Genomic DNA, 17,677 nt, shown 5'->3' on the forward strand with positions numbered 1-17,677 from the left:
CTCTTCCCCAGATCCACAGAAAAGATGGGGTATCTCCTGCACAATTAACTTTCTACTCTACTGATGGGGAAGGCCTTCTGCAGAGTTGGTGGCTCTTGCTTGGAGGCAACACTTTGATGCTTGTCTTTAGGTGGGAAAGTAGCTTTCCAGGCCCAGTACTTTGCTACTTGTAAGACTCTCACTTACCTGAAAATTGTTTGCTCTGGTTTTTCTTGTGACTTTGGGCAAGTTACCTAACCTCTCAGTGCCTCAGTTTCCTCATCTGTAATATGGGAATAATAATAGTTCCTTCCTCACAGGGTTGTTGTAAAGACTAGATGGGTTGACACACATGAAGACCTGAGAGCATGCATGACACAGAGGATGTGCTTAGTACTTTAGCGTTCATCAGTGTTGTCAGTAGCCAGGGCTTCCTTCTGTACCATATTGTTGACTTTCAGAATAAAAAATACATTGTTTGCTATGACTTTGTCCCAGGGCGTGTGTATTAAGCTTCCACATATAATTTATATCACTTATTCCTTAATAACATTGTCATGGGTTAGATGGGACATGTATTTTTTTCAACTTTATTTTTTACATACAATAAAGTGCATCGATTTTTAAGTGTACAGTTTTATGACTTTGAGCTACAGTCACCACTGCTATCAAGATATAGGATATTTCTGTCACCGTAAAAATTCCCTTATCTCTTTCCCAGTCAGTCTGTCATTCTTACATTTGGCCCCAGGCAACCACTGATCTGCTTCCTGTCATTATAGAGTTTTCTTATTTAGAGTTTTATATAAATGGAATTACATTTTACACACTCTCTTATGTCTGGCCTATTCACTCAGCATAATTATTTTAAATTTTATCTACCTACCTGCATAGTACCTATATTTTGAGATAGGATCTTGCTCTGTCACCCAAGCTGGAGTACAGTAGAACGATCATAGCTCACTATAACTTGGAACTCCTGGGCTCAAGCAACTTCTCCCATCTCAGCCTCCTGAGTAGCTGGGACTGTAGGCATGTGCCACCTTGCTAGGCTAATTAACATTTTTTTTTTTGGTAGAGACTGGGTGTAGCTGTGTTTCTCAGGCTGGTTTTGAACTCCTAGTGTTAATTGAGGCCTCAGCCTCTCAAAGTACTGGGATTATAGGCATGAACCACCACGCCTGGCCAGCGTAATTATTCTGAGGTTCATTCATGTTGGCATGTATCAGGAGGCTGGTCATTTTTCTTGCTCTGTGGTATTCCACTGTTGAATGTACTACAGTGTGTTTAGCCGTTCTGCTGGCGATGGCTTTTGGGTTGTTTCCAATTTGGGGCTGCTATAAGTGAGCTGCTATGAACATTTATGTACAAATCTTTGTGCAGCTATGTTTTCATCTATTTTGAGTAAATATCTAGGAGTAGAACTTCTGCATCTTAAGGAATATGTATTTTTAACCCCCTTTTACTGATCAGGAGGAACTTAGAGGGTTGGAACTGACCAAGGTCTCACAGCCAGAAAGGTGTCAAGCATGGACCAACATTTGATACTCCTTTTCTGTTTCCTCTTCAGGAGTCATTCTATTAGACCAGTGATTTCACACTTTTAGAGCACCAAGACTCTTTTTAAAATAAAATACTGTAGGTCCAGGTGTGATGGCTCATGCCTGTAATCTTAGCACTTTGGGAGGCTGAGGTAGGAGTATTGCTTGAGCTCAGGACTTGGATACCAGTCTGGACTACAAATCAAGACTCCCCACACTACAAAAAAAAAAAAAAAAATTAGCCGATGTGGTGGCATATGCCTGTAGTCCCTGTTATCTGGGGATGCTGAGGATCACTTGAGCCCAGGAGGTGAAGGCTGCAGTGAGCTATAATCACACCGCTGCACTCCAGCCTAGGTGACAGAGTGAGACCTTATCTCTAAAAAATAAAAGATAAAATATTGCTTAGAATTTCTATAAACAAGCTACACAAAAGCACTGTAAACAGGCTCCTTAGAAAGTTCAGTCACTTTTTTGCTGTTATCCTGTTGTGCACCCAAGTGCTTCTCAAGGAATGTCTTTTTTGCAAAGTGCTGCAGTCCATTTGGCTGCTTCTTGAGAGGAGAGTCGTGGACCCCCTGAGGCCTAGTTCTTAAACATCTCTTCTTAGTCCCCATTGCATTAGTTGTTTCAGAACAGGTCATTGAGCATTTCGCCTTTGCATTTTGGTGGTTCAGAGAGTAAGAAACTCTTTCTCCGGCTGACCAAAAAACCACCTCTCCCTACGCCTCGTGTATAGATTGGGCTGTACAACTGGTGAGAATAGTAACATCACCATCCCTGTTGCTATAAATCACTGCTGGTGATATAGCTCCTTGATCCAAAGGGTACTTCGGGGGATGTAGGGCCAGATAGGTACATTCAAACTCAGACTATTTACCTTTGTCACCTGGTAATATTTACAGATGGAGCAGATGCCAGTATGTTCCATTGCCCTATTCTGGAGTAGTGATTCTCATTTTATGTTATCAGAGCCTAGCTTATGAAATTTGAAATGCACTTTTGCCTCCTTTGCACTGTTACCACTGCATCAGAGCATTTTAATCAGCTTGCTTTCGTTGAAGTGTACAATTTTTCTTCTCATTACGTCTGCAAGCTCTCAAGTTTACAGACATGATCTCCTTGGCTAGACTAATATTACTTGGCCATTCTTGCATGCAAATTTAAAATTTAATATCTTGCTGCAGGTCTGTTGAGTTTTATGCAAATTCCAATATAGATTATATTTTGGAGCTGTAAATTAGAAATTACATTTGGGGGAAGTAATATTTGTGTGGGTTTAAAAAAAGTAATCTTGCAGTTTGTATGGTACATGGCATTTCTTCTGAAGAAACGGGATTTTGAGTATTCTGTGTGGGTTTAGTAGATGTCTTGCCAATTGTGTTACTGATAATGAAAATACAAAAACAATGCCAGTATGTACATTAAATTTTTTTCCTTAGGAGACAAAGTCTCACTCTTTTGCCCAGGCTGAAATGCAGGAGCACGATCATAGCTCACTGCAGCCTTGAGCTCCTGGGCTCAAGTGATCCTCCTGCCTCAACTTCTTGAGTGGCTGAAACTACAGGCGTGCCTCGCTAATTAAAAGAATTTTTTTTTTTTTAATTTAGAGACACGGTCTCCCTATGTTACCAAGGCTGATCTTGAAATCCTGGCCTCAAGCAATCCTCCTGCCCTAGCCTCCCAAAGTACTGGGATTATAGGGCATGAATCACTGTGCCTGGCCTACATCAACATTTTTTATGACATTTGGCTGCTTTTTCTAAGTTATTTGGGATTAACTGTGTTCTCTCATTTATTAATTCATTGAGTATATGGTTATGGATGCTTGATAGGCTCTCCTCTTGGCTTTGATGATACAGCAACAAACAAAACAGGCTCTGTGCTCATGAAACTTACCTTCTACTTGGGAGAAACAGACTTCAAGCAAATAAACACCAAGTAAATATTTGGTATCTCTGATGGTGATACATTCTGTGGAGGGAAATAATTCAGGGTGTAGGAATAAAGGTGTGCTGAGATGGAGGTGCTAGTCATCAGGAAAGACCTCTCTAAGGTTACCTTTATGCAAAGACTTGAAGAGGGAATGGAATGAGCTGCGCAACTCTTCTTAGGAGAACATTAGTCTGGGTGGAGACACTGCAAGGTACAAGTGTCCTAAGTGGGTGCTCTTGCCGTGTTTGAGGAGTAGCAAGGACGTCAGCCTGACTAGAGCAGAGAGGGAGGTAGAAATAGGGCAGAGGAGGGGTAGCAGATGATGGAGAGGTGTCACAGGTCATATAGGACCTTGTAGGTACTATAAGGACTTTGGCCTGTGCTCTGAATGAGGTGGGGCACTGTGGGCGAGGGCTGTATTAGGTAAGAAGACTCTGACCATTGTGTTGAGAATGGAGTTTGTGGGGGGAAACTCAGATCTTTGGATGATGGGCATGGGACACCATCATCAGCCATTGCAGGTGTGGACCTTGGATGCTGCCTGCCTAAGGCTGGTGACCAAAAAGAAGGTAGAGTTGGATACAAGAGCCTGGCATTGTTGGCATTTTTGTGTTTGAGTGTCGGAAAGATCGTGGCAGAAGCCTAAGTATCTGTGTTGCTTGGGCCTAGCATCTGTGTTTTCACAAATCCCCCAGGTGATTTGATGCCTCTTTAAAACACAGAATGTTGGGCCCTACCCAAAGGGTTTCTGATTCAGGAGGTTTAGGGCAGGGCCCAAGAATTTGCATTATTTACAAATGTCAAGGCGATGCCAGCCAGTGCTGCTGGTCAGGGACCACGCTTTGAGAACCACTGCTCTGGTGAATGGGTATTGCTGTGTTGTTATCTGCAAAGTTACCTTTGTGTACTTCTGCTTTACAAAATAGGATGTAGCTTGAACTCTGAGTCAAACTGCCATTTACTGTGGTATGACCTTGGATATGGCATATACAGTGATTCCTCACACATGGTGTTAATAAGTTCTTAGTAAATGCTGGCTATTTGAATATGGTATGTAGGTATAAAATGATGTGGTGGAGGTAAAATATGAATAATTTGCTGAATATAAGCTCTGGACTGTGGACATTATAAACAAGATCTTGTTTTGTTTTCAGCATGACATGAAAGGTTCATTAGCTTTGTTTTACACATAGGGAAGTGGCTTATTCATGATCACGCAACTAGAAGTAGCAACGGTAGATTTCAAATTCAGTTCTTTCTGGCTTCAAAGCCTGAGATTTGCCACCACCGCATGAGCTGCTTGGAGTACTGGATTGGCTCTCCCACAGTTTTTGTCATTGTGTGTGTGTATGTGTGTGTGTGTATATGTATGTGTGTGACAGACAGAGAGAAGGAGAGGGGTGTGTGTGTGTGTGTGTGTGTGTGTGTGTGTATGAGAGAGAGAGAGAAAGTGTGCCAGAAATTATTTGCGTACGTTTTAAAATCTCTGTTAGGCCATTTTTTAAATCTGTAAAATGGGCATGAAGCATGCAGAGTTCATAGGGTTTCTTTGCTGAGTAGAATATGGGATGGCTTAGCATTGTATTTTTTTTCCTTTTCTAATTAAAAAAATTTCAAAGCCAAATCGAATCTAGATAGAATAAATTTATGGATTTTTTCTTTAGGGTTCCTTATTAGAATGGATTCTTCCTAATATGAAACTTGAGTTATTGAATTTTGTGTGGAGAGGATGCTTCTCATTAGGGTCTCAGTTTGGGAAGAAGAGATTATGTTCCCTTTAAAAACAGCTTACTGTGTTTGCAATTTTAGATTTCTTATCTCAGGAAGTTCACATACTGTTAGGATAAAACTTTCCTAGATAAGGCATCTGTACAAAGGAATGAAGTATATGGGAAACTGCGTGTGTGGGGAGACCATATCTTTAATTTTTGAAAGGGCTAGGGTAGCCTGGTGGTTTGGAAAAATTAAAAGTATTGCATAAAAGTCAAATGTAATAGCAATTATTGTTAGTGTTGTAAACTTCCACTTATCCACAAATCAGATGGGTGGCAGTCTCTTTATCTTAAGTTCTGGTTATAAAATTGAAAAAGCCATTGATTAACAAATAGCTGTCACAAAGCTGGAACTTTCATAGTAACAGTTTCTGGTGAAGCTTCCCTTGATCCCTGACTCAATCAGCTAGGTAGAGATAAAAGAGAAATTTTGTATTCTGAAGATGTACAGACAATTATAAGGAACTCTGGTTGACTGCAGGGGGAAGAGACACAATAGCTATTAAAATAAAAGTATGACAGTTGGGCTAAACAGGCAGCCTCAAACATCCTAGGAGTCCCTGAGGGCAACACTGTATGTAGTGACTCAGGTTCTTAGAGGAAAGTGGGTCATCAACAAGAAGCATACAGGCTTGTTTTTGGTATCTTTATAAGAATAGAGGGAAATAATGAGTGTGTCAGAGAGCTCTTGTCAAGTTTAGTTTCAATAAAACAATTTGCTTAGGGGTAAGTTTATTTGGGAAAATAAATCACTGATAACAGCATAAATACTGTGTTCCTCAGTGATGAGATTAGATGAGTAGGGAGGTAGTGGGGTGAGGTAGAAGGAGCATGGACTTGGACACAGATACTTGATTAGAAGCAGAATCACCTTAGATATCTCTGCGCCCCAGCTTCTCTGTCTATAAATTGGGAATAATACCTGAAGAGGTCATTGTCAGGATTGAATGAGATGATGTAAGCAGTGCACCTTGCCCAGGGCTTAATAAATAGTGATGAGACTGGTAGATTTCTCTGTGAGGGGGCTTCAGGATATACCTCCCTTATACAGACTTCTATTCCTTTGAGTCCACCGCCCCCCACAACATCTTTATGAACTGTAATGTATCTCATACTGTACAAGTCACCCATTTAAAGTGTACACTTCAGTGGCTTTTAGATTTACAGAGTTGTGCAACCACTACCACAGTCAGTTTTAGAAAATGTTCATCTCCTCGAAAAGAAATCTGTACCCTTTAGTTATCATTACTTTATTCCCTCATCCTCTTCCTCATCAGATGTTGTAGGCACCACCTTTCTTCCCTTCCTTCCCTTATCTTCTTTTCAGCTGTGGACTGTGCTGATTTGCCTGTTGCTGGATCATGTGATTGAAATTCTTTGAATTTTTCTGTAAATAGCCAATTTAGCTTTTTCCCTTCCAGAGTATTTGTTTCTTTGGGTGTGGAAGCAGCTGCTGCAGCCAGTGCAAGGGCTCACCATTTTGCGCTTTGCGGCTGTTCATATGGCAACTTTATTCAAAACCGCTCCTGCACTGCTTAAGTTATTTGTTTTATACAAAAACAGTTCTCGCTGGCTTGCGGCTTCTCTGCTGCCATGTTGACAAATGTTGCTTCTAGTGAAATACACAAAAATAAATAACAGCAAGGGAGAGGGGAGCACAGAGCTAAGTGAATTCATTTTGCCTCTTGAGTGCCATTCTCATTTGTTTTAAAAACCACCCTGGCACAGACAGAAAAGGAGAAGGCAGAGAACCGCAGGAAAAGAAAAGGCCACATTTGATTCTTTGAATTGGGCTGTAGGGGCTGGCTGAACAGACAACTTGAGAAGTATCTGGAATGTAGGCCCTGGGGATGAGGAAAAGTTTACAAGGAATCTGAATAACCTGCAGATATTCATATTGCAACAGCCCCCATTTACATAGTCTTCAGAGTTCATTTGGTATGTTCTCTTGTTTTCTCGTTCTGTTGATGACGAGACTCAAATTTAAGCACTGCTGGTGTAGTAGTACATGACCATGGTTGGTTTCTGTCAGTGTGGTAGGTTGTGTATTAGGAACTGGAAAAAGGCAAAAGCGTAAGGGTGTGTGGGTTCTCAAGTTTCGATTTGAAGGTCTGACCCACATGAGAAGGTGGAGGGAATGCTGACAAATATTGATTGCCTTTCTGAGCCAAGTATTTCCACAAATACTATGTTATTAGTATTATTATTATATTAAGATATATTAGTATTATACTATTATATTAGTATATATTAGTATTATTAGTAGTATTATATTAGTATATTAGTATTATTATTTGTATATAACAAATACTATGTTAGTAGTAGTAGTAGTAGTAGTAGTAGTAGCAGTAGTAGTAGTAGTTTTCAGAGAGAGGGTCTCCCAGGCTGGAGTGCAGTGGTGAGATCATAACTCACTGTAGCCTCAAACTCTTGGGCTTAAGTGATCCTCCTCACTTAGCCTCCCAAGTAGCTAGACCCACAGGCATGAGCCACCATACTCAGCTAATTTTTAGATTTTTTGTAAAGATCTGGGCCTTACAAAGTGCTGGGTTTATAGGCATGAGCCACCAGGCCTGACTTCAGAAACATTGTTTCATTGGTTAGCATGACAAAGGTTGGTGGTCTTAGCTTCATTTCACAGACTAGGGAGGACAGAGTTTTGAGGAATTGTGGTACTTACTTGCCAAAGGTCTTACTGAAATTAGGGGAGTGGAATGAAATGGAAACCCCGTGCTTCCAGACCTAGAACTTGTTCCTTTTCTATATTAGTAGTAAGCCATCAGAGGTATGGAAGAAGAAAAGGAGAAGGGCATTGGAAAATAAGGAGGGATAACAGCAAGCAGTAGAGGCCAAAAACATTTTGTTTAGAAAAATTGTACATCTTCTTTGAAGGTTTTTGTTCATTAAAAATCACCAGGAAAACGAAAGTGACTTGCAAGTCCACAAGAAACTTTGTTTTGGGTGTGTGAGTTAAGAATGATCACCTGACCAATTATTATTGACTAGAAAAACATTTCCCTGAGCCTTTCATAAATTATCTTAATGTGCATATTGTTGAGGCAGTGTCTGATAAATAACAGCCTAATTGGCCACCCAGGGTCTGAGAGGTTTGCTTAGCCACAACTAGCCTTTCATTCTGGGTCTGGCAGATTGATTTCTTTCCATTTGTTGCATGATTTTCAATGCTATTTATGACCTAAATATTCTGTTCAAAATATTTTTTTTTTGGTCTATTGCTAATAGTAGATGCCTCTAGGGAGAAGAGGAGAGAAGCAAGAGTGAGGTGACAGGGACTTACTTTTCCTTATATTCTCCTTGGTACTTTTTGAATTTTGTTCCGTGTACTATTCCATATGATGGAAAGGAGGTAAGTGTATTTAGGCAGGTGGAAGGTAAGAAGGGTAGATGAAAGGATGAATTATTGACCTGAACTTCAGGCCTTTATTCATCAGTGGTTTAGCCTGTGGGATTGTTTCTCAGCATATAAACTTCTTCAGTTATGTAGACATATAATAGTTACTTGTTCGATTTATTGCATCTGCAAAGGTATGGCCAGGTGTCATCATGAGGAAGTATAGTAGTATAGTGTTTAGGCTTAAAAGATTCTGAAACCTAGACTTCCTGGGTTGTAATCCTTTCTCTACCACTTAGTGGCTGAACGTGACCTTGGATCTTACTTTATCTAGCATTTTTGTGTCTCGGATAGCTTGTAGTTAAAATAGTAGTTATAACAAAACTTGTGGAATTGGAAGGATTACATATATTACTTAATCCACATGAAGTTCTTATAATAGTGCCCAATACACAGTACTCACTAAAAGTTAAATTTTTTTTTGATGACTATTATCACAGATGGTGATTTGCCTCATCCATCTCTCTGTCCCTTAATGTGGTCCAAAATCCACCCCCCGCCCCACACCCGGCCTTAATGCCCAGACAGTGCCCCTGTACTGACTAAGGAGCCTTTCTTTTGAGTTCACTGGTCTGGCACTGGCTCCTAGAAGTGCTGTTTTCCAGTGACAGCAGGATATTTGGACCACTGGGAGAGTCAGTGGGCTGGGGTGGGCCCTTGCTCTCTGCAGAGGTGTTCTTTCTCCCAGTGGGAGGAAACACCACTTGTCAGAACACAGCTTTGGCTTGCCCAGGTTCCTGTTGTGCAGATGGGGCCTAGAGTCTCTCTGGGCCCCTTGTCATGGATCCAAGCCAAGGCTGTCGCTTGCTGAGCCAGGAATAATATAGGAATTAGTCTTTTTCTTCTTTATACTAAGCACTAATCAATCTACAGTTAACTCTGTATCTAATTTCTGAACCAGATGCCGTGAATAACTGCCCCTGAATGTGTTTTTGCCAATAAAAGGATAAGTTTAAGGCTTTTAATCAATGCCGCTTGCACTCAGTATTTAAGGTCAGAATCTTGTGTGCGACTTATTTTGATCAGGATAATTGTTGGGTTAAAAAATGAACGGTTTTTGAAATTGTGACACTCGCGGTTGACTCGTGGGTGAATTAATCTTTGAGAGGATGGAAAATTGTCGAGTTCATAAGAGTTCTCTTGCTCTCTAGTTGTCTTTCAGGTCACTTATGGAAAAATATGACTTTTAGGAGGAAGGCATTCTTTTTCAATGGGAAAGGAGATAAGAGACTAATAGAAATTTCTAAGGAGTCAGTGATGGAGGCTCAGGGGAAATTGGAAATGAAGCTGGGTGTTTTGGATCTGCGGTGAGCTGAGGGACTGGAACAGCAGCTGTGTATGTTCTAGGTAATATTAACTTGTTGTAATTTTATGTCTCCAGCATACCTTTTTCAAAGGAACTCATGTTTCCTGACCAACGACTGTGTACTGTCTAGAATGAAGCATAGTGTTTAGAAACATCTGGGGTTTAGATATTGGCTTCACTGAATGGCCTAGGGCAAGTCACTGAGCCTCTGTGCCCTCAGTTTTTATAATTATAAAATGGGATGGTAATAGCTACCTCGCAGTTGGAAAACTTAAATGTGATCATGTATGTGAGAATGTGAAGTGCAGTGCCTGGCACACAAGAGGTGCTGAAAGGAGCATCTCCTTTTACTTCTTTGTGGAGTTTGTTTGGCTGGTCTGCTGGTCTGTCATACATTTGTCTGGTGTGCCTCTAGATACACGTAATGTGGAAATTTCCCTACCTTGTAACAGTGAGTTGGAAATTGTTCCTGTTGATCTGTTTTTTTTTTTCTTTTGTGCTTAGGGAAAGGCATGAGAAAAATGAGTCAGGATGCCCTCCATTTCTGGAGAAGCTTGGTGGTAATTCTGTTCCCCAGTGGCTCACAAGCCTGGGCAGTTCAGAGAATATGAGAATTGGTAGATCATGGAGAACTAGGCTCTGCCCCTTTGGCTATGCGGGAGTTACTTAGTCTTCCTGAAGTTTCCTGTCCATGAAAAGGGGATGTGTGAGGGTGCAATATGGGTAATGTTTGTGAACAACCTTTGTTAGTGTCAGGAAAGTCCAAAACTATGTGGTGTGGTATTTTCATCATCTTGAGTTGACAACAGTGCTTATCCAAAAGTCAATTTTGGTATTTTGTCAAATGTTAAAGGCTCAGGAAATAACTTCCAACTCAAGGAAGATTTGTATCCACTCTGGAGCTGGAGGAGCTTATATTAAGAATGTAAGATACTTGGGCTCCCAGGATTTCTGGAAGAGCTGGCAGTCTCCCTGAGGTTCAGGTTCTCAGACCAGCAGGCCATGCATGGGGGCTTGTGATTAAGCTGGTGCCGAACATTGCTGAATTATATAGGTCTTTCTGTGCTACAGGTTGGTTTTCTGCTGTTCACATGTAGTCTAACAGTGGCCTGTTTTCCTTTGCCTCAACTGTGACATCCCCTCGAAGTGACCTTTATGAAGGCAGAGCTTGGATCTGCCTTGCTTCTTGCTGCCTACTGTGTGGTTTTGTGCAGAGTGCTCCTTTCCCTCCTCTGGTGTCTTCACAGGTGACTCAACTGGAAGAGGAGGTTAAAGAAGGTCGGGTTACCAAGCACCTCTCTTCATGCCTCAGCCAATCCAGGCCCCAACACTGTGTGGGAAGAGGTGTTCATCTGTTGAGAAGGGGTGGGGACAACATATGTTACATACAGAGGCTCCAAGGTGGTTTTGATGAGCATAGAGTATAGTGGGAGAAGGAGCAAAGGATGGTTTGGGAGGTAGGAAGTAAAAGTTTCAGCTAGAGCTGACTGTCAAAGGCCTTTTCTGTCTTTAGACTTTTACTCTGTAAGATACAGGGATTTGTATGTGAGGCTTTTGACTTTAACTCTGTTGGAATAGGGATTTGTTGCAGGCTGTTAAGTAGGGAGGATGGTATGAGAGATGCATTTTCAGGGGTTTCATTTGCTCATGGCATGGTAGAAGATGAAGGGTGGATGGTGAGTAGAGTAGAAATAGGAACACAGAAGACTGCTGCAGTATTTCAGATGGGGATTGTGTGGGGCCTATTTAGGTCATCTCCAGTGCAGGTGCCCAGGAGAAGTTACAGTAGATACTGTTGTACTTGTAAAGGAAAATGACATTCGAGTTCCTGTTTTGTGCCAGGAACTTTAAGTAATCTGCATATCTTAGCTCATCTCATTCTCAAAACAGCAACAAGCGGAAGGTGTTATTTCTCACCGTTTTTCAAATAAAGAAACTTAGGTTTAGAGCATAAGTAATTTGTTTGCCATCCCTGGACAGCTCCTAAATTGCAGGGTTGAGGTTAATACCTGATTACATCCAACTCCAAGTCCTTTCTGTTCGCATTACACCACACTGTGGCCCTCAGGACACAGCCTCATGTAGTGATTTTGCATTAGCAAATAACTTTGTAAGGACTAGTCTGTTAATAGTGATCTCTTTCAACATTCCCATGAGATGAGGGAGCACAATTAATTGTTCAGCTGAGGGATTAGAGATATAAGGAGGTTAAGTGACTTGACGAGGTCACCCATCAAGTGGTTTGGGGCGGACAGGCAGAGGTGAGTGAGGCTTGGAGCTGGCCATTTTGAGACAGTGGCCTTATCGAGAACAAGAATTTTCCAGCCTCATTTTATAAATCCAGGCTTCTAGTTCTATAGACTAGGGAAACTATCATGGAAATGGTATGCAAGGCAAGTGCCTGAGGCTGAGATGGCACAAAGCACCGTGGTATCTTGGGGTTACTTTATAATCAAACTCTCTCTTCTAGCATAGTCTTTAATTAAAACAACAATCATCTCCACCAAAAACTAATCATCTTTATTAAGCATACAGATTGGAGGAAGAGTGGGGAGTCTTGTGTCTGAGAAAGATCTCACCAATAAATTGTTTCCTTTGCCATAATAATTGTGTTGCTGAGTTTAATAATTAGAATTCTCACTCTACGCTTCCTTTTTCTGTTTGATTTTACGGGTCTGACATCGCTGTTGTTTTTCCTGGGAATACTTGAGGTGTCACAAAGAGCAACATTATGATGAGAGCCATGGGAAACACTTGCTAATTACAGTATATTGTGCCCCTGTTCCTTATCTATCAGTCTCTATTGGTTATTATTACTCATTTAATTTTTATTTTTGAGAGATGAATGCACAGGGCAGAATAGGTCCTGAGAATGAATCTAGAGCTTTGCCTTTGACTTGGATGGACACTTTGGGCATGTACGGGTCAAGAAATAGATGATTGGGTATCTTGTGGTAGGAGCTAGAGGAACTATTAATACATTTGGGAGTGGGGAGTGAAGGCCATGGACTGAAAAGATGCCGAACTACAAACCTGAATGATTTTATAGTTTGCTAATGGTTATCCCTGGATGCCATGCACCATCATGATTTAACTGAGCCTTGCAAACAGGGACGATACTTTTCCTAACCCCCTGCCATCTACTGCTTTCTCACCAGAGGTCACAGGGCAAAGACAAGTAACACTGGCATTGTGCATGTGTGACAGGTAACTGTAGGTAGTAAAGTGGCCACCTGTACCATTGCAACCCTGTGTAATAGTCTAGTGAAGTGATCTGCTTTCTGCAGTCAGGATGCCAAATACGGTGGAGAAGGAAGTGACAGTCATTTACAGTGTCATGTTTAGTCTTTTGCAGATGTGCTTACAGTTTTAACAAAGGCGGAGAAGAAATTATAGGGTGGGAAAGAAATGCCTACAGACAGGCTGCTAAAGCCTAAGAAGGAGGAAACTAGTATTTGTGTGTTTTAGGAATGCTAAGCCCTTGCTTACATATCAGCAAGCAAAATATTGGCATTCACTTCTGACTTGAGGAAGGCATCTCTGAAGTCAATAGAAGGAAATGCCTAAACACAGGCCTCACTCAGAAAGAAAGGAGAGCTGTGGAAATACTCAGGATTATCTCATAAAAGCTCTTTGTGTATTTGAAGCCTCTAATGAAATCAGCCTTGTTCTCCAGGCCAGACAACTCCAGTTGTTCTTACCTTTCTTTATTGTATCTTTTTTTTTTCATTTCTTTTATGCTTTTGTCATCTCTTGAAATTTCTTTTCTTTGAATAATACCAATAAAAATTGAACTTTTTGCCTGAATGCAGGGATGACTTGCTAGTAACTACCAGTTTTTATCAGAAAGCAGAGTGGGATGCTCAGTGATGTTGTTGATGGTGAGGATGTCCAAATCTTCTTTTTATATGCTAGCTCCATTGTCTGCTGCATTTACCTGTTTGTAGCGTTGGTGCGTGGAACATTGGGGCATATAAATGTTTATTGAATTAGTGAATGAAGATATACTGAATTTTTTCCTTAAAAAGTCAGTATTTGCTTTGGGTCAATAAAGAAACCCTTTATTTTGCTTTTTCTTCATAAACACCAAAATCCTAGGAAATATTGGTTTTACTTTGCCACAGCACTCTGCAGCTTGTACAGACTTTTCCAGAGATGAAAAATTCTTTCTCACTTCTGTATTAGTCCTTCGCTTTATCCTCTGATTCCTCCTTCCTTCCTTCCCTTTTCTGCCTTCCTCTCACCCATTCATGTATTCATTAATTCAGTAAATGCTTCTTCAACCTCTGCTATAAGCACTATTTTAAGTTCTAGGGATATTGTTATAAGCCAAATAATGTCTCTGCTTTCATGAAGCTTATATTTGGGTGGTGGGTCAAGGAACATGATTGATCAGAAGAAGTTAGATTTCCCTGTTGGGACAAGGCTTTCAGAGAAGTAAGTGGTTGTATAGGTAGTAGAGATAAAAGGATTGCTCCCTGTGAGGGACTTGCTGGCAGGATAGGCTGTGATTTCACTTTATTTTCTATTTACATAACAATCTGAATCCCAATATAGTGTTTAACCTGATATGTAAGATTCTGTTTGGGCAGGGTTTTGTCAGTTATCATTTATATCTCCTTTCTTGAAATTAGATCAGATTCCTTTGATTTATTTGGAGAGAAAAATGGGCAATACACAATGTGTTTCTGCTGAATATTTTGCTATGATGTTGACACAGTAATGTACACTTTATTTTGATTTTAGTGTGTTTTATTTAAACATTCCATTATTCAGAAATTGTTACCCCCTCCTTGTTATTACTGTTTGCCTGCAGTTATTTAGAAAGCAGTTTAATTAATGTTCTTTTACCGCCCCCTGCTTCAGTATGAGTTTCAACACTTTTAATACAAAGTGTTCATATCACTGTATGAACTTACTAAAACCCAGGACAGTGATATTCATTCATTCATTGCTTTATCCAGCAAATGTGCAATACAAAAAAAGATACATGCTTCCTCTCTACACATTTCAGTCTAATATGAACTGTTTGGTTGAAATACAGAAACATAACATGCAATTCTCTGGGATAAACGTTTCACTAAATAAACAGCAGTGAGAATTCTGAAGATACACTTAACTAGGTCAGCCTAGGCTTATCAGAGAAGGCTTCACAGCATAGGCGATCTTTGATCTGGTTCTTGAAGGGTAAGGATGTGTTTTCCCCCCAGGGACCAGTTGAGAAATAGCTAGAATTAATTAGTTCTGCTGTAATCATTGAGGTGCTGATCCTAGAGTGTGGCTTCCACTGCAGTACTGGATGTGGGGATGATGATCTCATTGCAAACACAGCCTGGGTGGGTGTTTTTGGTTTTGTTTTAAGGATTCTGAAGCAGCATATACACAAGGTTGACCTCAGGACCTCTTTAGTTGGTTGCTGCTGCTGTTCACAATAGATTTAGATTGGATAGGGCTTCAGTTTTCTTACTGTTGCATTCCAGCATTTTGGATCAGTCACTTTATTACATCATTTACTTTCTGGCTTAGGCTTAGTTGTTATTAAGTGAATCAGGGATAAACCTTAGGCTACTCTCCTGCTTCCTTTTTCAAATGATCCGGAGTAAATAAAACAACTACATCTCTTTCGTCACTGTGTTTCGTTCCCATCTCAGAACGGGTAAAATGGCCAATATTTTCAGTGAAAATGTATTGAAATGCATTTCACTGAAAGAAATGTTCACATTCAGTGAAATGTATCTAAACTCTAAAAAGAGTCTAGAAAAGCTCATTGACACATTTGTTACTTGCTGAAAGCCCCAGTGAATTTTCCAACCTCCGTATTGTCCTTAAAAATTGCCTTTTAGTTCTTAAGGTGGTGGAGGTGTGTTTTTTTCTTCCCCCTTAAACCCTCTTCTGAGCAATCTTTGCAGAGACACCTGGTGAGAGAGTAGGCCCTTCTGCTTTGTGTGCCCTCTAGTAAGAGATGATCATCAGCAGCTTTATATCCTAATGTAGAAAATGTGCTGTGCTAGATCATTTCAACCCAGCAACTCACCTCTTCATGCCTAATGCCTGGAGCTAGGGCCTTGTTTCTCTCTACATTAGACAAAAAATAAATAAATAAATGTGGGTGAGGATAATAATAATTATGATGGCAGGAACACTTATTGAGTAAGCAAGTGTTTGCTTATTTAATCTACCTGACAACCCTACCAGATGTAGGTACTGTTATTTTCTCCATTTGGTGGATAAGAAAACTGAGTCACAGAGAGACTCGGTAATTTGCCCAAGGTCAGACAGCTGTCTGCCCGGGGAACCTATACACTTAATTGCTCTGCTGTACTGTGGTTGAGTATCTCTTATCCGAATTGCTTGGGACCAGAAGTGGTTCAGGTTTTTGATTTTTTTTTTCCGAGTTTGAAACATCTGTATCTACATAATGGGATATCTTGGTGGTGGGACTTAAGTCTAAACACAAAATTCATTTATGCCTCATACACGTAGCTGGAAGGTAATTTTATAAAATACCTTTAATGATTTTGTGTGTGAAACAAAGTTTTGACTGTGTTTTGACTGCAGCTGCTCATGTGAGTCCAGTGTAGAATTTTTCACTTGTGGTATCATAAAAGTTTCAGATTTTGGAGCATTTCAGACTTCAGATTTTCGGATTAGGGTTGTGCAACCTGTACTTCATGAGCCAATTGAGAAAAATGCCTTCATAATTTCTTTCTAGGGCCTCAAACGCCTGGACGTCACCCCTGACTATTGCATGTTGTGCATTGGACAGTTAGATCTCCTCAGTGCCTGTGAACAAGTGTTCTTTTGAGTGATACTCTTCTTTTTGTGACTGTATTATATAATATAGCTTTCATAGCCCCCACTTTATTTGCTGTTATTTTATTCCCCTCTCATCCCCGCCCCCCCCCCCCCCCCCCCATATAAAGGACTCATTTCAAAGATGGGCGAACCTGGAAGCTGAACCTGACTCTACTCTTCATGTCTTCAATTTACTGGCCATAAAGGTTCAGTTTTGTATGGGATCTTCTGTCCTCTAGAAGATCCCGTACAAATAGAGGCTTTAATTTATGCTTGCATTCTTGCATTTTGTGTGATTTATTGCCTAATAAATGAAAGAAAAAAGTTTATTTAGATAGTAAACTGAAAATGAAAAACCATTTTTTTCCACGAACTTGCTAATTTTCTTCCATTGTATAGTATGAACTCAATCTACAAAGATCTGGCAAAAAAAACAAGTATCATGTTCTGTAACAAACTCAGTTACACTAACACCAGAACTTACTGAGTTTAATTGGAGATAATTAAAAAAAAAAAGTTCTTTTTTTCTTTTTTTTTTTTTTTTTAAATAGAGATAGGGTTTTCCATGTTGACCTGGCCGATCTCAAACTCCTGGCCTCAAGCGATCCTCCCATCTCAGCCTCCCAATGTGCTAGGATTGCAGGTGTGAGTCATCGCACCTGGCCTCTTAATGTAGATGATTTTTTAAAATGAAGATTTTTTTCATAGTAAGAAAAGGGAAACCATAATTCCAGACCACAGAGAAGGACTTCTTTAATATATTTAACCTCTTTATTTACAGATCACTTCTTTCTAGAGAGACTAAAATTAGGGCAGAGAAACCTAAATCCTACATACAAAGAGCTGCTGCCCATTCAAAATAATTACAAGTGTGTCGGGCGCGGTGGCTCACGCCTGTAATCCTAGCACTTTGGGAGGCCAAGGCAGTGGATCATGA

The 17,677-nt window shown here is 40.4% G+C and overlaps 1 protein-coding gene across 17 annotated transcripts in view, besides 1 other annotated feature; it reads left to right on the plus strand.

Annotated features, from left to right (window-relative positions):
* Positions 1 to 17,677, plus strand: part of AUTS2 (activator of transcription and developmental regulator AUTS2) — a 1,195,032-nt gene that overhangs the window by 144,455 nt on the left and 1,032,900 nt on the right. The gene's annotated exons all lie outside the window — the stretch shown is intronic.
* Positions 1,900 to 2,401: an enhancer, noted in NCBI's record as "NANOG hESC enhancer chr7:69209815-69210316 (GRCh37/hg19 assembly coordinates)". NCBI's record gives its function as "activates a minimal SCP1, AML or CMV promoter by ChIP-STARR-seq in naive H9 embryonic stem cells {active_cell/tissue: H9 hESC(naive)}" and the evidence as "EXISTENCE:reporter gene assay evidence [ECO:0000049][PMID:30033119]".

This window comes from Homo sapiens, chromosome 7 (assembly GCF_000001405.40).
Source record: "Homo sapiens chromosome 7, GRCh38.p14 Primary Assembly".
Classification (NCBI taxonomy): domain Eukaryota; kingdom Metazoa; phylum Chordata; class Mammalia; order Primates; family Hominidae; genus Homo; species Homo sapiens.